The sequence below is a fragment of the Homo sapiens genome, chromosome 3, assembly GCF_000001405.40.
Source record: "Homo sapiens chromosome 3, GRCh38.p14 Primary Assembly".
Lineage (NCBI taxonomy): Eukaryota > Metazoa > Chordata > Mammalia > Primates > Hominidae > Homo > Homo sapiens.
The window spans coordinates 35,637,489-35,659,272 of record NC_000003.12 but is presented as its reverse complement, the minus strand read 5'-3'; the positions used below and the strand labels follow the sequence as shown (position 1 = coordinate 35,659,272).

Below are 21,784 nucleotides of genomic sequence, written 5' to 3'. Positions count from 1 at the left end.
ACACAAGTGTTTGTGGACTCTGTGTGCATTCACAAGCATGTATGTATGTGTGCTGGGACGTAATGTTAAAAGTATTTCTTAAAATGGGTCTGTGTAAAAAATGTTGCAAGAATAGATGACATCGTGTTTTCATATCTATTTGAAGAAAAACTTGCAATATACATAGCTCATGTCTTGATTATCAAAGTCAGCAAGAGAGAATATGTGCTGTGTGGGGTTCCCGCTGTGAAATCCAAACATTATCTGTGAAATTCAAAGACTTTATCATTTAAATATGAGGATTGATGCCTCTGATGAAGATAGAGCATCTTAGTTAAAACAAACAAATGATTATCTTGGACAACAGTGTAAACAAGACCCTAATTCATGAAGCTGCTAATTGCTCTTCCCAGCTGCAGAAGATTGGCCTGCACTCCATCTCTCACTACTCACACTGTGAGTAACATTTGTACACTCTCTCCTGAAATTCAGCACAGCACAGGTCCAGCCTTACACATCAGAGCCTGGGGGCCAAAAAGGGGTCAGTTCAGAAAAGAACCTAAAAGGCAGCTACTTAAAGGAATTAAGTGCTTCATTTTATAGACATGTATTTACTTCTATGGCTGTGCTGGCATTAAGCTCATATTTAAATTACTTTATTTCCTCACAAGGCTTATGGGTATGTCATCAGGAGAAAAACCTTGGCACCAGTCTTTGTAACCAAGAGAAATTGATATTGCATATCATTTTTAGATTTTGAAAGTAAATCTAAAAATTGGTACCTGGATAACGATCATCACAAACTCCCAGAGTTGTTCATATTTAATTCCACTTAAATACAGATATCTTAACTCATAGCAAGCAGATAATAGGTATCATGTTTTCATACATTATTTCATGTACAAAATGCCAAAAAGAACACTTTACACATAGTGTTTTTAATCCTCACTACAACGAATCATTCACTCATGGAGGGAAGAAGAAAGAAAGAGAAAGAAAGAAAACGGTTCAGAAAGGATAAAATTCCCTGCCCAAAGTCAAACTGCATAAAAATTATTCAAACACAGTTCTCAAAAACCCATGCTTTTTCCACTGCCTGCCATCACCATGCCCAATCTATGAGTCTGGAATGTGTTCACCAAGAAGGGAATGCAAGACTCACCTATATAATCATGGGTACTGATTAAAGAAAGATGCCAAACCATGTAAAAACTGTATCTTTTATCACAAGAGAGTATTATTCCAGTTATCACTATCCAGAAATGTGCAATTACTTTTTATCAGTAATGTTGCTTCAGATATCCCACTAACATACAAAAGTGCATACTCAACATTTGATTCTCTAGTAATCTTAAAACTGAGAATCAAATTAACTATAGAAGCCCCTGTTACTGTAGAGTGGATGCACGACCACTGGTCCAAGGCCCAAATGTTGTCATATCTGGGAGAGCTATTTCTAAGGTTTATGGAGCCTCACCTCTACCACCATGCTAGGATTCGGGCTTGGAGATTACTTTGAGGAATGAAGCAGACCAGAGGCTGTTGGAACCTCAACCCACAGCTGCCTTTAGGACTAAGTCAACTGAGACTATCTGCATGGACTCTGAAGCTGGACATCAAGGGCTTGAAGACTGACTCCACCACTGACTCTGAGAAAGTTACCAAATGTGTTTGTGCCTCAGTTTTCTCATCTGAAAATGCAAATAATAAGGGTCCCTACCTCAAAAGTGGCTGAGAGGATTAAGCACATTAATATACATAAAGTACTCAGAAAAGTACTTCACACAGAGTTGCCATTATAAGTGTATTAGCTATTAACTCGTTCACTGAGAGAAACATATGCATTTTTTCAACAGATGTTTATTGATATCACCTGATCAGATCCCTGGCTAGAATTAAACTGCCAATTCTTCTGGAGACCTGATCTTCCAGACATTTCTAGAGACCTTAGTGTCTTTAAAAATTATAGCTACTTCAGAATGGTATGGGCTTCCTTCAGAAGCCACTGGGCTCTTTAAGTTGTGAATGGATGGCAATTTCTGAGGGCGTGTACATATATGTGGGAGGTAACTGGATGAAAGTTCTAGGCTGTCAGTTTTTCACAGTTAGTCTAAATGAGAGGAATAAACGTGTCCATGAAAATCATTTTTAAAGCAGCAAAGTTTACAGGAAAGGATTCTAAGAAAAATACCGAATGAGAAAATAGGGGAAGGGTACCAGGGGTAACACAGTTAAGGACTATGTCAGTCAGATTTTTCCAAATTCCAAAATTTGCCTAGGATCTCTGCCTGGAAAAAATGGAATTAGTACCATTTTTGAAGAATGATTCTCATAGAGATCATATCTTCTTATCTATTTTGTTTGAAATAAAGCATATTTTATTTATATAAATTGATACTTTTACCTCATACAACTGCAAATTCAGTTACTTGATGTAACTAAATGGTAGTGTAATTCTGCCTTTTTTAATTTTAAAACTATTATACAGTAAATTTGACTTTTTTAGGGGCTGTATGGTTTTATTAATTTTAACACTTGTATAAATTTATATAACCACCATCACTATCAGGCTACAGAACAGTTCCAGTTTTTTAACTTCCTCATACGACCCCTTTACAGTGACACCCCTCCCTTTGTCATATCTCCTAGCAGTCACCAATCTGCCCTTTGTCATGATAGTTTTATCATTTTGACATGTGATATAAATGGGATCATACAGTCTGCAATGACTTGAGATTGGCTTCTTTCACTCAGAATAATTCCCTTGAGACCCATCCAAACTATTGTGTCGATTAGTAATTCACTCCTTTTTACTGCTGAGCAATATTCCACTCTATGGATGTACTGCAGTTTATCCACCTTCTAAAGGACATTTGAGCTGTTCCTAATTTGGGGCAATTAAAATAAAGCTGTTATAAATCTTTGTCTTCACATTTTTGTGTTGACAGTTTTAACCTCTAATGCTCACCAATTTTTATTTTAAAATTTTCCTTGATTTTTAGAATATCCAGTCTTGTGGATTAGGGGATTATTATTATATCTCAGTGGATTTTGTAATCCTACACTGGAAACTCTTAGTACACACAATCTTAGAGAGAAATTTGTATTCAATAGTCATTCAAAACAGAGACTGCGTAACTCTGTCTAGTGGAATCTACTATCCTCATCTACTCCTTTAAAAATATGTTTTAAAAATAATTTTTAAATGAAAGTAAATTCAAAGTTATTCTAAGATTAGTTTGTTTTGAAATTTTATAATATTCCTTTGTTTTTAGATTATAAAATCTCAATCATGCAAATTCTACATTCTGGCAAAAAGTTTTATGTTTTAGATCAGTAGTTGTCAAATTCTGGTTCATGTACTGGCAACATCAACATCACTAAGAACTTGTTAGAAATGCATATACTTGGGCCCCATCACAGACCTGCTGAATCCAAAAATTCTGTATTTCAATAAACCTTCAGGTGATTCTCATGTATATGATGTTTTGAGAACTACTGCTTCAGAAATAACTCTCCTATGTGATAAAGAAGGAGGGCCACCATCTGAGATTTCCCCTTGAGGTGACATAAGAAAACTCACATTTACTTCCTTCTGTAATGGTATTCACTTAAGGAATAGGATGGCTCATTTGTGTTAAAATATGGGCCCTGAATCACCAATTGGCATTTAAAAGACATACAGTACAGCTCATTTTAGTCACTGGGGCAGAGCTATGAAATCAAAATCTAAAGTGTACAGAAACCCCTGAGTCCTCATTTGAAACAATAAATTCATCATCTTACTCTCTATTACTATCTTGCCATTTCATCAGCTGTGACGTGCAGAGAAGAGGGGTACAGGCAAGTTTCCACTCTTCATTGATTCTCTTCTATTATCCTAGCCTTAATGGGATATTGTTTATTAGCAATGAAAAAAGTGAATTCAGAAAGAAAAAAAGTAGAAAATAAGCTAGCCTGGAGCACCCCATCAGTCATAATAATAAAGATTATTCTTTTTATAATAAGAAATCTCAAATATATACATATATAAATGTAGATATCAATATACACACATATATATTTATCAAAGAGTATGCACATTTATTTTCTGTTATCTCTGCAGAAATATTTCTCAAAAGTAAAATAAAGTTTATTTCCTTGTCATGGGTTAAAACTTACCGGAGTAAACCTAGCTAATGCATATGATGAATTAGGTTAAGAAGTTTGTAGCAATATGTTTTATGTACATAATGTAAAATATATTGATATAAAATAAATCCTTATATTTACCTATAAATATTATTTCTAAGATTTTCCATTTCATCAAGTTAGGTAAATGGGAAAACAAAGAAAATTATTTTGGTTGTTAGTTTACTTCAGGTCATAAAATAAGATTTAATATTTAATAAAAATTAAGCATTGTCTTTAAATTTCTCTTTCCAAATGTTTTAACAAAGTCACTACCTTTGACAAATAATTAATAAACATGTTTATTATACCTACTATGCTTAACTTTTATTTAATGGTAAGGCTGAAACATCCGTTATCCTCACCACTTCCTTTATCTGAGAAACTGACTCCTTGAGGGTAGAAAGATAAAAAGGCCACCCTGATCCTGCACATCTGCTAAAAGCAACCGTCACCCTCTGCCAACAAACACTGAAAGCACAGTCAAGGAATGAGCGTGTGCATTCCAGGTGTTTGGTTTGCTTGGCAGAAAACAAATTGAGGACAAACAATCTGCGAAGAAAGCTCACATGGGCTAATTCTTATATAAGTTTTTCAGAAGATAATTGCAGGAGAAACGTATTAGTTAGAAAGGATAATTTCATGCTCAATATCGGTAAATTCCATACCTTTGTCTATCTGGTGTTACTTCTCCCCCATGGGGCAGAAGACAGGTTGTAAATAAATAATGTAGTGCCTTTCCCTGAGTTTACAGAGGAATATCTTAGAGCACGTATTTGAAGAGCAAGGTAATATGCCTTAACTGTAAACAATCACAAAAGAGTAACTTAAAACATGCACTTAAAAGCTCAAACCATGTGAATCCATTAGGAAAAAAAATGAAAATGCAATTTTCCTTTAAACTTCACTCATCACTTAATATGCATCTTTAAAACCATTTTTCATCTATTTTATCACCATTTATTTTCTGAAAAAATAATATTTTCTCTTAATCACTTATTCCTAGGCATCTGTTTGTTCTTAAGTGTGAATCACTGGGTCCCCTAAAGAAACCTCACTGCTTCAAATTAAGATGGGTGGTGAGTGCAAATATGGATTTAGATATGCCGTAGTATTTTTTCCTTATTTTTTTACTTAATTATATATCTTGTTGACACTTTATAAAAGCCAATGCTATAGAATGTGACAACCCTCCAAATTTATTTTACTTTTCTTTTCCAGTTATTCATGGACTGATACAATATTTGTGACTCAAACCACAACTTTACAGTATTTTCAAAACAAATATTGATATACATACAATTTCAGTGTACATATTCTTAGAAGTTTCAATGTTTTAATGGATAGTCAGTACATGTAGAGAAAGCAGGAACAAGCTATCATTTCTATTATGTGGCAAGTATTTTATACGTAACTCATGAAGAAAATATTAAACTCACAATGGTTAATTAACTTTGCTAGGTGAGTAAGAGGCAGAGATGGAATTCAAATTTAGATCACCATGATGTCAAACCTACCCCCTTCCTATGACACCGGGGGAGAGTGTGTCCCAAAGATATGTAAAATCAGGAGCTGATAGTCCGTGGCATCATTCGTGCCATAAACGGCAACCACAAGTATAGATCTGTGAAGCATGCAGACAAATTTCCGTGTACTTTGCGGCAGTTTCAAAAATTAATTTCCATGGCCTTCTTTGTCATGGCTTCACTATACCTACTTCCCTTAGCTCCTGATTCTTAGTTAGATGATACCCAGATGAGATAATTGAATTCTCTGTTTTGTGTGGCCGTTACATATTACAGGGTAATTCATATTACAAAGAAAAAAATTAAGGATGAAATAACTTCTTTCATTCTTCCTTCAACAAGAATCCCTAAATATATCATAACAGAGATAATGTCACTGCTATGACTACAGCCAAAAAGTAGATAGGTATGGACATTACATAGGCACACAAAGTCCCTTTCACACAGGAGGGAGTTTATAAATATCAGGTAACATTTACAGTACAAGACAATAAAACAAATTATTTATTTGAAATCACAATGCCACATGTAGCTTTTGATCAAACATAATCCAAAGGTAAACTCAAAATCAGTAGAAGAATACTGACTTTTCACTTATCACTGTCCCTGCGCCTTCAGCAAATAATACTCACAAGGCTACAGAAATCTTGGATTTCTATACAGATAAGAATTTTTGCCTGGAGAAACAAGGTAATTCAGAGTGCAGAAAGAGCAAGCCAAGTGAAGTAATTCCCGCAGAGCAGAACAAATGGCACAAATGACCTAATCAATACAGAAATAAGTACAGATTTCCTCCACAAATGGCCACATGGTAGCTTCCCTAACAAGTTCAGAAAAACATCACACTCCTTTCATGTAGATCTTCTTTACCATTTATCGATGTACCTCATCAGGAATACCTACATTTTAGCTGTCAATTCAATATATTAGGTAAATTTACCCAGTAAAATATATAAGCCCATTCAAGTTTGTAGGTCTGCTTCTGTCTCAATGCTGTAAATGCCTTGGCTAACAGTGCAAACTGTTTGATCCCTGCTTAAGCCTAAGGATCCAATCAATAAATGATGAAACAAGTGATATCTCCTCATCCTTTCTTAAAACATAAAAAACAGTCTATTTTCACAGCTAGATCAAAACAATGAGGTAATGTTTTCAGTGATTTTTAGAAAAATTGATTTTAGAGCTCTCTTCTCTTGCTAGATCCTTTGGGCAAATCTTTTATTATACAAATGGCCTTCTGCTGGATATAACCATTGGTTTTATCTGCAAAGTGAACAAGTCACAAGTTTACTGTAATTTTATTTGAAATCATTCTTAGTTCTTAGATAACAGTCCCAAATTGCTCCTGGAAGGATGCTAAGACTAAACTCTCTACAGTATTACTAGACAAATCTAGGAGACCTCTGTGAATCACCACCAGAACTACAATCTTACCCAAAGCTGAGTCACATTAGTAGATTATAAAATACTGCATGGAATCTTGTGTACACATAGAATTCTGAATCACCTATGAATACCCACATCTCTTTTTCAAAGTCTCTACTGCCCATCCAAGCTTATAAAAGGTCAAATCCTGCTGTCTGTGCAAGGAGTGCCTTCTAGAAACAATGACCTGCACTCTGTGTTCACAGATGGCCTCTCCTCACAGAACCATTGATGTGGAAGCATTCATCATATAGAGTATAGCTGTGTTGAAAACGGATTCCAATTATGCCTGAACAAAATATCCAAGATAACTGCCACATCATGAAAACATTCTCAACACTGGGAGGGGTTTTATGGGGATGCTTTAATTATGTGAGGCCTATGCAATCAAGAAAAAATAGTGATAAGGACATAAGAAACTCCAAAACTATGATCACCAGAAAAAAATGAGTACCAAGAAATGAGGTAAGAAGTTTATATTTAATTCTTAGAACAATCCCCTTTTAGAAATGAAACAGCTGAGGTTTAGAAAGCTTAAGAAACTTTCTACTAAGTTGCAGAGTTGGATCTGAGCCCAGGTCTGGGAACCCAGATTTTCTTTTCTTAACCAACTATTCTTGATAAGAGCACCTTCTAAAAATTTCACTCCTGTTGGGTAGCATTAGTGCTTACTTTCAGCGCTAAAGAACAAAGCATAGTTAACATTTATGAACAAGCCAATAAAAATGGATGCATGAATATTATACAAAAAAGTGTCATTAAATAATGGAAATTATAAACTGGAAGAGATCTTAGATATTATCTGGCATAATCCTGTCGCTTACAGGTAATTTCAAAAAGTAGGTTCTTTCTCAGTATTTCAGAGCAAGGTATTTGAACAAGAGGCAGGTCAGAGGCAATATATATTTCTCCAGACATCTCTCTGCCTCCAAATATCTAAATTGTTTTTGCTGCCAATGAAAAAATAATGCATCTTTTTCTTTAAAAAAAGATTATCCTTCAGATGACCTACAGATCAAATCTTTTATTCCTCTGTGGTTTTCCTACAGAACCATTTAAATTTCATCTTCCTCTGATCACAGGCACTATTTTTAATTTATTAAGGATTAACAGATTTTATAATATTTTATCATTTTTTTCTGAAATAATTTTCCTGTTTCCTTTCTCAAACACACAAATGTGGAATCTCACAACAAATTCAAAGAATAACTTGTCTTTTGATAAACCTAATTTTTAATTCTAAATACGTAGGCTGGTTCATGTATTTTCTATACTTTACTCTGATCAGGTACCTTAAACTGTGGATTCAGTTCACAATCCCAATGTAATTTCAACCATTTACTTGCAGCCCTAGTAACTAATACAGTAAATGTATGATTTAATGGGAGTGAAAAAGAGAATATGACTGGCTCATACTAATTTCATATACATTTGTCTTGGTTGATGGTGTTTTTTCTTGTTGGAGAGCAACCTAAATGTTGGTTTTACTTTGTGGCCTATTCCCACCAACAGAACTTTCCTCTCCACCAAAGCTTCTCAGTGGTGCTCACTCTTCCATGTTTGTTTTCTGGAAACAATATTTTTCTACCCTCAAAGTGTACGCTCTAGGGATTACCTAATTAACTTTATTGGTAAAGAAAGATTTTTCTAATTTGTTGGAATTAATTCATATTACTTTATCATCCAAGATATTGTCTACCTATCACTTTGGATTTTTGTGAAACTCTCAATTACTCAATTCATTGTTCAGAAAAGTTAAAATGCATTCATCTCATCCAAGTGCCTATAAAATCCTACACATCAAGTTTTCCCAAGTATTTAGCCTGAGACACAATACATAGAAAACTTCAATAAATACTTGAAAAATAAGAATGAATAAATGAGTGATGGTAATGATATCTGATGCAAAGACAAGCCTTGTTAGCCGTCACCCAAGAACTCAGCTGGCTACTTAACTTGGCTTCCATGGAAGTTCCCTTACTTTGAAACAATGTGTTCTCGAATGTATTTTGCTGGCTTCCTGATGAGAATATCAACGGTGTCAAAATCTATTGCTTTCTACATGTTCCTAAAGCCTGCCACAGTCTCAGAGAAGATAACGTGTTCCTCTTCTAAGTTAAGGTATAAGGTTTTGTTTTTTGTTTGTGTGTCTGTGTGTGTTTAAAGTGGATGGGTGAATGGAAGTTCATTCCATCAACATTACACTTAGCATTTCTTAAAATGTTGGAAACAAATTAAGAAAGCAAACTCATTTCATTTGTAATCATCTGGACCCCTTCCTTTCAAACAAGATTATTTTTATAGATCGGGTAAAACGTGAATTCAGTTCTCAATGGTCCAGTTGGATTAAATGATTTTCTATTTAACTCTGGTTATTCCTATCATTTTTCCAAAGTAGCAGGAAGAGAAGAGCTTCCTATAGCTTGGTGGCACCTGTTCTGCTTAAAGCAGGAGGGGGGTCTGAAAGTCTTGAATTTGTTAATATTCTCTTCTCCCTTTGTCCCTCACCCCTGCCTTCTAATTCAGCACTGCCTACTTGCTTAGTTCTTTGGAGGAGTGAATTCCTTCCGCACATGCTGGGTGTCCTTCACCATGGTTAATCTCTCCAAAGGCACACATCCAGTAAAGATGGGTTGCCTTTAGCTCTGTGTAACAATGATTTGGAAATATTTGTAAACGTGCTTTTGCCTCATTCTTTCTTCCAAGACCATATTAACTGAGTGTTAATGAATTCCCTCCCACTTATATGGAAAAGTAATGTTTGTAGTCAGTTTAAGCAGATTGAACTTTTAGGAGCCTTGTTATTCCCATAAAATCCCTAGTCATTGTCTGAGATCTGAGGAAGAAACTATTTTGTAAGAACCAAAATAATAGCTAGTGCAGTTACAATTCTACATATAAGGGCAGGTTTTTGTCCTCTCAAAAAAATGAATATCAAATCTGCTTAAGCTGAAACTTCAGGGAAAAAATACAATTAAAACCTTATTTAGAGTAGGTTTTAAATTCTGAGTATCAGTAGAAAGGTCAATTTTTAATTCAACAAACTTTGATTAAATATCTGCCACATGCAAGCACTATACTAGCCAAGAACTGCTAAGGACAATGAAAAATGGACTGGGAAATAGGCCTTTTGTTTGTGTATTTAACGTAAGTTAGTTAAATGACTTGTGCGTAAGCATGTCGACTCTAGCAATATATATGTATCCATATAGGAACAAAATATATCTACACTTTCCTTGTTTTTGTTTGTTTTCCAACAAATATTTGGATAGCAAAGAAATATAAATTTATTCTCTGACACCTTCTGATAAATTTTATTGGATAAATAGTTGATTAGGCTATTCCCCAGAAGAATGCTGACATCTGTTTTATAATAGGAAATAAAATGCAATTATCTGATGGATTTACTGCTTTGTATAACTCACCTTCTCCTGTGTTGAATACTATCTGTGGCTCTCAATTTTTTGATAGGGGAACCAATTGTTTAAACCTCAGTTACGAGAGAAGTCTTTCCCTCCTCTGGCCATGTTCACAGAGGCACAGTGCTGACTCATTTCAGCAAAAGTAATGCAGATACTTTAGGATCAGAGGCCAGATCAGCGGCCCTGTCCAAACAGCTCACTCAGTGCTTGGAGACAGGAAGCTGAAGCCTTCTGTGGTAGTGCCAAGGACCCCTTGGTGAGGCCAAAGCTCCATTTGCTTTGTTGCAGAATAGAAAAATGTTTCTCTCATGTCACCTCAAATATGTTGTTAGTCCCAGCTCCCATCCACTAGTGCAGGATTTTAGGTTTTTCCTTCATGGATTCATTCCAGTTGTTTCCTATTCAATGATTTGGTTATTTATTCACCCCATTTAAATGGTAGAAATTACACAACTAAAATGTTCTAGAGAAATAATACCCATATGTTAACATTTTAGACAACTGAATTAGACCATTTCTTCCCTTACAAACTGGCAGAAGATTATGGCCTTGTTAAGCATCATGTTCCTTATGCAATGAACACTTCTGAGATTAGTTACTACCTTGGCTTGGCCTTCAATATTTCATAGCACAGAAAGAGTCAAGCATCACCAATTTTAACCATCAGAAACATTATGGGATAGCAATGAAGGAGAGCTGTATTCCAAATTACCAAAATATTTTTTTTTCTTAAATGGAGGTGGGGATCCTTAAATGTAAGAAAAGTAAATCTCTTTCTGAACTTTTTATGTGAAAGAAAAGTGGTTTCTTTTAAGTGAATAATATCCATGTGTCAAGTGCTTTGTTTCTGCTTTGATCCTGCAAGGTAGGTCTTATTCCCACCTCATAAATGAGAAAGTTGAAGCAATGAGGAATTAACTAAGTTGCCAAAGTCACACAACTAGCAAGTTGTTGAGTTGGGACCAGTGTTACTATACAACTTTAACTGTAGAAACTGTGAAGCACAGAGAGGTTTAGAGCTTTGGCCATAGTCACACTATTTACTCAGACCCAGAAACCAAACACCAGTACCACGCACCAATTCATGTGGTGAATTGCATATTTATGAAGGTAAGTCACAGAAAATGCGATTCAGATACACCACTTTTAGCCCTTATTTCCCTGGACCTTTCATTTTAATCCTAATTTTGTGCATTTCTCTAACCTGTAGAATCTCGTGGAGGGCCATGCGCCTCCTTGGTAAAGCCTTCCTTCATTGCTTACAGCTCATTTACCTGCTCCCTCTCAGATAAGCTACTAGCCTACCTTTGGTATACAACCTCTCTATTACTTTTAATCTGAGTTTCAATCAGAAGCTCCACTGAATTCAAAACATCTCTGTCTACAGCTTCCCACATTATATCAGACAAATAACACAGGCATTACAATTATTTCTGAAATAAAATAATTTCCCTATTAGAGGGATATTTGTATTCTTATCCTGGAAGATGTATAAGTTTGTTGCAATATACACATTCTATCACATTAGCTGTGTATACTCTCCTACCTCTCGATGATGACAAAACACTAAAACACTAAGTTATCCATAGTTCTGGCTGAAGACAATAATTATAATGATAATTAAAGATTAAGGCATTCAGTTGTCAGAGTGCTTAACAATGCTAAGGGTAAGCAGATAGCTGCAGCATGTGTATGCAACATGATTATATGCTAGATTAACTTATCATTCCAGAACACTGTTAGTGATTACGTGAAAATTTCAGTGTTGGAGAGAAATTTGAATCTCCACACAAAAAAGTGTTGTGACCAAAGTTAAATGACACGGGAGTGAAAAAAATGATGAATCATTAATACCAGCTAGTTCTTTGCTGTGAAATTTTTGAATTTAGTACAATGCCAGTTGTTTGACAATTTCCAAAATTTCTTACAACATCAGCATATCTAAGTAAATTTAAAATAAACAAAATATAAACAAAGTCATCGAAGAGTGTTAGCTTGATCATTCCTATAGGCCAGATATATGAAGTAGTCCAATATGACTGCAGAATCCTAACAATTAATTAATTTGGCAGAATTTAATAGCAATTTTAATACAGCTATGTGCCACATTGGCTTAAAGAATCATGATTTGACTAAAAACCTTAATCTTCTTTCTTTAAACAAAGAAAATAAAGTTCCATATTTTTAACCAAAAGCTTCTTTACACCCATTTAAAAATTGTTTTAAAGAAGCATTGAGTAGTTAAAGCTTGCAAATGCTGCAGAATTCTTGATTCTGTCACATACTCACATCAAATCTACTTGTTTTCTGTCCAAAAGCTCTTTGATGATTAAATCAAATCTGATGCTAGCAACGCTGGGATTTCCATCAAAGTTACATAGATATTAACAAGCAAAACACTAAGAAAAACATGTAAATGCAGAGTATAGTTTTTTTATCTCTCTATGTTAGAACTTTTTGTGAGGACTTTAGCTTGCAGTTTTAGAAACATACAAAAAGCTGAAAAATAAATGTGTTAGTCTTCCATTTTTCCATTGAATTTATGGGCAAATAAAATTTAAACAATTACGAGGAGTCATTGAATTTCGGTGAGTTGACATGCTCTTCCTTCACCCTCTATTGACCAGTGGCTCGATTTTTCTAGGTCTATGTAACAGTAGTGAGATAATCTGAAAGCAACTTGAATCACTGAACATTTAGATGATAGCTAGGCCTTCTGATTTACGTGTCAAAGCATATTTTATCACAATTCATAGGACCATAAAACTTTTAGAAATTGATGTTCAATTTTGTTCTTTAAAGATGTTGAAATTTTTTACCTCACTTGTTGTTTCTCAATTTCAACTAGACCAAAATATATCAACATGGATAAACTATTTTTTTTTAGTGTATGATCCAATGGACTAGAATGTTCTGAATGAGTATTGTATCTTAGCAATTAAAAGGAAATCTGCTAAGTATATGAAAACCACTTCTCTTGTTTCTGTTTCCCTAGGGAGAGTTCTTGATCTTATCTCAAGTATTTAGTGTATAATAAAGAAGCAACCAAGGATAACACAAATGTAAAAGAATGCTTATCCATTATTAAGAGTTCCAGCACTGAATTTGGAACTAGTTAGTTCTTTTAAATGTCCCTACCACAAGGAATTATTTCCTAACTTGTGTGGGTATCAGTGAGAGATGACTAGGCTTATCTAGGTAGATATGCTTTGTGAATTTGTTTTCAATGAAAAAGCTGCAGAAAAAAAGATCATATATTACACTTTACAATTCTTCATAGAAACATTACCCATAATATACCAGAAAACTCTAGAAAATTCGCTGGAATATTTGAAATAAAAAGTGACGTAATTGTTTTCTTGTGAAAAATTTTGAATGTTTCCCTTAAACTAAAAACAAATTTTATTTGCAATTATCTTAAAACCAATGTTTACAGAAGGGATTTTGTTAACAAAATCTTAATATTTTGTGTGTTATTCATAATGGATTTCTAATTTAAGAATTGTATCATCTTGAAGTAGTGTGAAATGTGAGAATGTAGTAAAAGGCCTGTTTTTAGAGGGGATAATTATTAGTGGACACTTGCCCTCTTTATCTGGATAAAAAGAAATGATTTTCTTTTGCTAGATAACAGGAACAATTATAATGTATATTACTTTTAAAATGTATGAATTTATGACTGATAAATAATTATAAATATATTCCTTGAATGAGACAGTTTTGGACTAATGCTTCTAATGCTTCAACATTTTAATGTCGCAATTACAATTGTATCCTAATATATATCAGTTTATTACAAAACGTATACAAAAATCTTCTAAACCTGTCACATTGAAAGGTATATTAAATGGGGGTTATACAACTGCCAAAAGACATTTCTTTGGGCAAATCGTGTAAAGATATTTAAAAATATTGATCTACTGTGACCATGGACAGTGATTAACATTCTCTCCACCTGGCAATTCCAGGATCTATACTGGTGACTAAAAAACAGGAGCATAATATGATGCTAAGGATTCAGTCTGAAAGTAGAGAGCAATTCGATGCATTCAAACAAACCCCTTTGTTTTTGCAATATCCCCTCCACTGTCTTGATGTAATTATTTCAATTCACTTTTTTGGTTTGCTGCATAGCTATTTCTCAAAGCACAGATATGTCTCGGTAAGTTTAGAGAAAGGTGCATTCAAAATGTTATATGAGCATGTCATGCCTAAAGAAAATATCTTCAGACCACAGATTTTGAGACTATAAGATAACAATGTTACCAGACATTTAAAAACTGCTGAATGAACCAGATATTCTTTCTCGTGCACTTTATTCTTAATGAAACATATTATGTATATAATTTAAATACTTCATATCTCAGCTCATATCTAATCCTCATAGATCATTGGTTATGATATAAATACAAGTAACATGTACTTCAATATCTAGGGCCAAAATTAATCCAAGATGAGCAAAATTAATTAAATTATAAGACTAAGGCACTACAAATAATCAATTTATTAGAACTTGGCATAAAGCTACCTAAAGGAAACTAACACTCAGAAGCAAAGACACCCTAAGCAAACAAATCTAGTTACAGATACATCTTGTTAATATTTTCTTTTTCCTTCAACAGTCCTTCAGCATTTGCTTACATTGCTGCTTGAAATTCATTTATCATATTTAACATAAAATGCTAGAATAAAAAATAAAATACAAGTCCACAGAAATGTAGAGCTTCTAGAATCATAAAGATCCTTTGTCTAAAGAAAGGAAGTATATGTTTTACAAATGCATCATCGCTGACTTAAAATATATTCAGAACTTTCCAGGTGATATAATATATTTTTAAGGAAGTCAATTCTTTTTGTGATTAGAGATTCACAAATTTCTAAATAGGCTACTACCATGTGATACCAGTTAGAATGATGCCAGTACTTACCATAAGAAGAAATGGCTTTCATTGTCGACATCACCTTTAAGCCCCACATTCTCTCCTAACCTTGTCACAAAGCAGATCTGAATTAAACTGACTTATATACAAATGATTAATTTGCAATTTCCAACCTTATGGACTTCAAACTGTCTCCTCACACTAATGAGAATTCTCAATCATATTCACTTCTGGCTACCTTGTATATTGTGTCTTCAGTGGCTGACTCATTCTACACTCTACTTATGTAGCTTATCATTATCTTGTCCACAGACAAAATAGACATTGAATTCCGATGAGGATTCCCACTGATTTGAGAAGCTTGAGAAAGGTATCAGCATTGTGGTCCAAAAGGCATGACCACTAAGGGAAATACTTTAGCCAGTGTGAATTGTCTTCCTCCTCTAGAACTAAGTCAAAAAGACAAACAAACAAAAAATCACAGTAACTCATTGTGATGTATTTTCCTTAGTAGTTTATTTCTGGGGATTATTTTTCATAGGAATTGGCAAAAATCCAGATCAACTTTGCACATTGTTCTAACAGCTTCATTTAAAAATTATATGACTAACTTCCCCATTTAATAGAAACTGCTTACTTTCTCTTATGTTTATTAACCTTGCAACTACTTAAGCATTTTGTCTAATTAGCTTTACTCTGAACAAAAGAATAACCTGATTATAGTATGTTGTTAATATGAAAATCAACACAAGACCTTTCTGATTGAACATTCTCACTTTCTACCTCAAGACAGGTGTTCTGCATATATACAAATGTTGCAGACAGATGGCTTCTTGCATTGTACACACTATAATGTTAAGATATTTTGCCCTTTATTGTGACATTACAAAAGTTACCAGTGCTGCCTCTGCTACTTATATTTTTAAAATATTTAGACTTCAGTAAGATAATCTGTAGGGCTTATCTTAATTCTAAGGAGAGAAAACACCCCAAATATTCTATCAAGTCCAAACAAAACTTCCTGCTTCTCTTAGTTGTGACAATTCTGGACCTAGACTCCAAGTTCATAAAAGAAAATGAAGCAATTCACAAGGCAGAGCTTCAGGTTATTGTAGTATCTTAGAAGCATATTAGTTATTTTATTCGCAGAACGTTTTACAAGCTCCAAACCTTTCACCGAACAATATTTTAGGAATTTGAAATTATTTCTGTACTTCTCACCACCCAAGAATATGACAGCTTGTATTAAAAATAGTCTGCATGCAGGAACTCCCTGGTTAGTATGTCCCTCAAGTTTTAAAAACTCAAATTATTGAGTCTTCTTTCTAAGAACTAGTGAAGAGGTTTACGAAAACACCTATTGAACTATTCATGTATAATTCTCTAACAAAAATCCATATTTCCATTCATATGATATATTAGGACTTAATTAAAATTACCATATCCAATGGTCAGCCTTTACCTTTCCAAATATCCTTGTCCAGTATCCATAACCATGCACTGCTCTGTCTTCCCTCATGCTTCTTTTATTGCTGAGTGAGGCGCTCGCTCCTTCATTAAATAGCATTAAAAATAGACTGCACAGAACTCCCCAGTGGAGCATGCTCTAACATGGCTAATACCACAGTTCTCAAGGTAACCATACTCAACTGGGATCTAAGAGGGAAAGTCACTGGGAGATCAGCAATTTGCAAATCTAATAGCACATACAATTCTGTCTTGGTCTGAGCTAAATACTGCAAAGGACAAATCAGCATGTAGTGAAATTAAGTCACTGAGGAAGTGAAAGTCAGTTTCTTTAGCTGTATAAGTTTATTTAAATATACGTCCTCTAAACAAAGTACTCTGTTTAATAGGCACTTTTTCTAAAGTAACTTAGTTATTTTAATTATTGAATGGCATAAATCATGCCTGGAGAGGATAAATCTAAAACATGAATGCATAGCAATCCACGTATCTTAAACATTTCATTTAAACAAAATCAAAATACTATTGATAAGCAAGTGTAGTAATCAATTATGTTTCCATATCTTTTGTAATGAGGAAGCATATTCCTCAAAGCATATACCCAAACTCACTCTCCAGAAAATTTACAAATATTCTGTCAAAGTGATGAAAAGCAGAATGTTATAACAAAGGAAATATAGGATCAAACACAAATACATACCTTGAAAACCCACATACACTTGAAAAGAGTGTATTCATAAGCTCTCACATGCAATTCACATTAGAAATGCAGCAGAAGTAATTACTGCCAAGATAGTAGATTACTCGGCTATTTGAACAAAACATAGATAGAGCTCTTGGCTTCCAAATGACTGTCTTTCATGAAAATGACATTAACTAAAATCTTAAGATATTTAAGCCCTGTGGTAATACATACACAAAGGATCAAAGGAGTAGGTGTATTTATCTAAAAGTGTGTCAAAGGTTTTCTGATTTTTAACAAATGAAAAATGATTTCCTGTCATCTCCACTTCTCTGTTTACTTAAAACAATCATAGCAGTTTTTATCTCCAAAGTAGATGAGGAGGGGTTAGGAATCATTTGAATTTATTCTGCATTTGAATGAAATCTTATACAGATTCATTTCAACTTTGGGGAATGTCCTTCTTGTTTTGAGAGGCTGAGTGTCATACTGGTAGAAAATCAAACATCAAAAAACTTAAAGAAATCAAAGATTAAAATGAATATCTGTACTCTAAACACATTCTTAGGAAAATGATTTCTACCAGCCTTTTAAGAAATATAACTGCCCACCCCTATAACTTTCAATTCTCTCCTTGTTTTTTCTTTTAGGCTTGGATTCTGTCCTTACCCTACATCTTCAGGAGGTGATCAGGTAGCAAACCTGAATAGCTGACAGCAACCACATCCACCTCAGCTATATTTCTATGCATAAACATTGAATGAGTTAATTCCTATTCCTAAGAAACTTTCTAAACACCTGCCTAATTCAACTCAATTCTACCACCATATCTACAACCTGAGACAGAAAAGAGTAAATTGGCGATTGCAATGAAGCACAGATTTCATGCATGTAAAAATAAAACTGAACATCTTTTCTATTCTTCCCCTTGAGCCCTTTGGGACCTAGGACCCCAATCCTTCCAGGACAACAAACAGAGTATAACTTTCTACCTCTTCAATAGGTCTCTTTCAAAAAGAGCATTGCAAACTTTCTACCATAAAGCCTATACAAATCACTGTAGACTTCTCTGATGAAAATCATTGCCAACTTCCAGCTTTCCATTTCTGTCTTTTCTGGGGGAAGGAGCGTCCATCCCTCCTTGACGAAACATAAAAAACACAATACATGTATAACAACATCAGCTTTCTACAAACACGAAGAAGAAATACAGACAAGAAAAAATTCAAAAGAAACAGACAGATATATGGCAGAAAGAAAGAAGGAATTCTAAAAATCCACAAAAGGCGTGCAATGTTCACGTCGGAAGACCTTGATTATTACCTTGATCGAACTGTGGATATCCCCCCTGCGTCTTGGTGCCTTGATTGGTTTGATTTAGTTTTGGATTTTATTAATATTATTGTTTCTCAATGATTGATTTGGCTGGATTTGTTTGTTTTGGCTTTTGGCTTGGCTTTTGTTGTTGTTGTTGTTGTTGGGTTTGTTTGTTTGTTTTGTTTTTGGTCGATTTATTTAACTGCTAGTAAAAGGAGCTTTCTGCAGTGTCGGCTGGGATCCCACACAGCTGTGGCAGCCAGGGCTGCGGCGGCGGCTCGGTCGCGGCTTGTGTCCCCGCTGCCCCTGCTGCTGCTGGTCTCTGCTCCGGACGCGCTCAGAAGGTGCCACCGCCGCCTTCTCTGGCCGGCTGGCCGCCGGGAGTGAACGCGCCCCCGCCTCCTGTCTGCTCTTCTGTCCGTCTGCACGTCTGTCAGTCCGACCGTCTGTGGGTCCGACTAGCAGCTCGGCGCGGGATTCTCGCTTTGCTGCGCTCTGCTCTCAAAGCTGCCACTCTCGCAGGCTGCCAGTCTGTGCGCTGGTCTGTCCGTCCGTCCGAATCCCTCCGTCCCACCAGCAATGCAGCGTCCCTCTTCCGGTCTTCTGTGCCCACAGTCCTCTCCCACTCTGTGCCCCTGGCCGCTTCGCTCGGTAAGAGGAGGGCGTGTGGAGGGAGGGAGCACGCGAGTGTTGCTGTCTATCTTTCTGTGTGCCTCTCCCTGCCTACTTAATGCTCTCGCTCTCTTTGCGTTCTGGTCTCCCTCTCTCAGGCTGTCTGACTGCTCCCACCTGTCCGTAGCTCTGCCAGTCCCACCCCTAGCCAGCCAGCCTCGGTCGATCCCTCGGTCCCGTTCCTCCAGCTTGGCCGCCTCCGTCGTCTGCCCCTCCGCCGGTCCGTGCCCTCCCACGCGGCTGGCACTGCCGCCGGGGGCGGCGCCCGGCTCCTCCCCGCAGCTCCGGATGCGTCCGGTCCCCGCCCGGGCTGAGGGCAACGCGCGTGTTGCACGTGGCTCCACAGCTGCTCTGGCCGGAGACCCCGGGCCCCAGACCCGCCACACCCGGGAGGTGGCGGCAGCCGGACGCCTGCCAGTGTCGCCGCCTCTGCGCCACTGGGAGCATCCAGAACTGGCCCATCCAGAGTGATGGCACCTGCTGGGTGCGCCGGGCGCCCGCGGTACCACTCATTCCCTGGGCCGTTCTCCGCCAGCCCTAAGGCTGGAGACAAAGCGCATGAGCCACGCGCAGCAGCGTGAGCATCATTAATCAGAAAGAAAACTGGCACGTTGCCCCCTGCCCCGCCACACCGCCTCCCTGCTCCCAGCGAGCAGGCATGTATTCTCTCTTGTCCCCCGTGCCCAGGCCCTCCAGCGTACCCGTCTCGGGGGCGCCCCTGGACTCCTGGGGACTCTTGACGAAGCCTTGTTCCACTCCCTCCACCGCTCACTCTCCAGGCCAACTCTGCAGAGACAATCCCACAATAATAACACCTCGCCCCACCCGAATGAATCCGTAGCCTCAGCGCTCTTGGAGATTCTTTGCTTTGAGCAAGACTGAAAGTCCGAACGTGCAGCACCAAGTGTACTCCCTGTGGGTGACTGCCCAGACCGCTGCCCACCTGATCGCTGATTTGGAATCACAGAGGTGCCACAGAAACCTGGGCAGGGTAGGACCTGGGGAAGGAACAGAGTTGACACCTGAAGAAATAAAAGCCTTGATTTTACCGCTTGTTCTAGAGATGCACTATTTTTATTGTCTGTAATTCATTGTTTTTTTTCATTGTCTCGGAGCACTCACTAACACACTACAAGGAAGGAAAAAAAAAAAAAAAGGAAAAGGCGTAGTGAAGGAGAGTGAATAAATTTCCGGAATTCCACCTACTCCTTCTGAGTGAATGTAGAGCCTACTTTTCCAACATTATAGGTCACCAGCCAAGATATACCACTCTAGCTTTCTGCTCCCAGCTGAGAGCAAGGCATTTGATTCTGGGCTTCTTTGCAAGGTTGTTATTAATGTGCAGCAAAATTATAGTTGTACACTCACACATGGAATTGCCAAAGCTCATTTTGACTATATCCAGCAATTCAGCTTCTGAAATGTAGACACTGAATAACTGTGTATCTGGCGAAATGAACGCCCCATCCCACAATAAACTGAAGAGGAGAAAATCAACTTTTACCAGTTGTAATTAGTAACCCCATGAATAGACAACAAACAAATAACTAGCATAAAACATGTTATGAAATTTTCCACATCCTTTTAGTTTCACTTATTGACACCCAACCATAATGACAGAGATTACAAACAGATTTATTAACATAAATGCCTTTGCATTATTATAGAAATGTGATTTCTACAGCTATGGCTGTGTTCATATACGCTAAGATATTGATTATAAATCTCAAATAAATGATACATGTACTTCTAGAAACTACTGTAAAAATGGAATGAGGTTGTACCGACCCTTGATGAGTAGGTAATTATTTTCCAACTATTCGAAATTGTCTCCCTTGGTGTTCAGCTCTCACTAGAATAAGAATGAATCTGCTGTATGAGGTTTCAGGCAAACCAAACCCAAATAATTCAAAACTGTTACTTTGATCTACATCCTGATCATTTCCACGTAGTCATCTCCAGAAGTGCTTTTTTACAAGTATTTTCTCCTTCCTTCCAAACATATAAAATTTAAAGGAAAATTATGAAAGCATTTCTAATTTACTACCCTTCCCTTCATCTCAAGTCATTCTGAAAAACCTATTTTTCTTTGAGGGAAATTGAGACTGCATAGGAAGAAAGTTGGCGTATTTGATTTCTCTTCTGGACAGAACTACATCTCGGCATCTCCTGAATGGTTGGACAGGTAATCTATTAACAGGAAACCTTAGCAGATTGATCATAACACAAAGTCTCTACAAAAAA

At 36.5% G+C, this 21,784-nt stretch overlaps 1 protein-coding gene and 1 long non-coding RNA gene across 53 annotated transcripts in view; one reads left to right on the top strand and one right to left on the bottom strand.

Annotated features, from left to right (window-relative positions):
• The window catches only part of ARPP21 (cAMP regulated phosphoprotein 21), a 155,634-nt gene extending 135,214 nt beyond the window's left edge, over window positions 1-20,420 (bottom strand). For 29 of the 52 annotated variants that reach the window (NR_170705.1, NR_169632.1, NR_169633.1 and 26 more), the window contains exon 1: window positions 18,875-19,748. The gene's annotated coding sequence lies outside the window, so the exon portion shown is untranslated. Of the gene's footprint in view, window positions 1-15,450; window positions 15,619-16,864; window positions 16,941-17,569; window positions 17,741-18,220; window positions 18,279-18,874; window positions 19,749-20,241 lie in introns of those variants that run through there. The other 23 variants (NR_169646.1, XM_011533300.4, XM_047447337.1 and 20 more) reach the window with 5 other exon arrangements.
• Window positions 7,312-9,076, top strand: ARPP21-AS1 (ARPP21 antisense RNA 1). Its single transcript, NR_046679.1, has 2 exons — window positions 7,312-7,565; window positions 8,789-9,076. It is a non-coding gene; the product is annotated as an ARPP21 antisense RNA 1 (long non-coding RNA).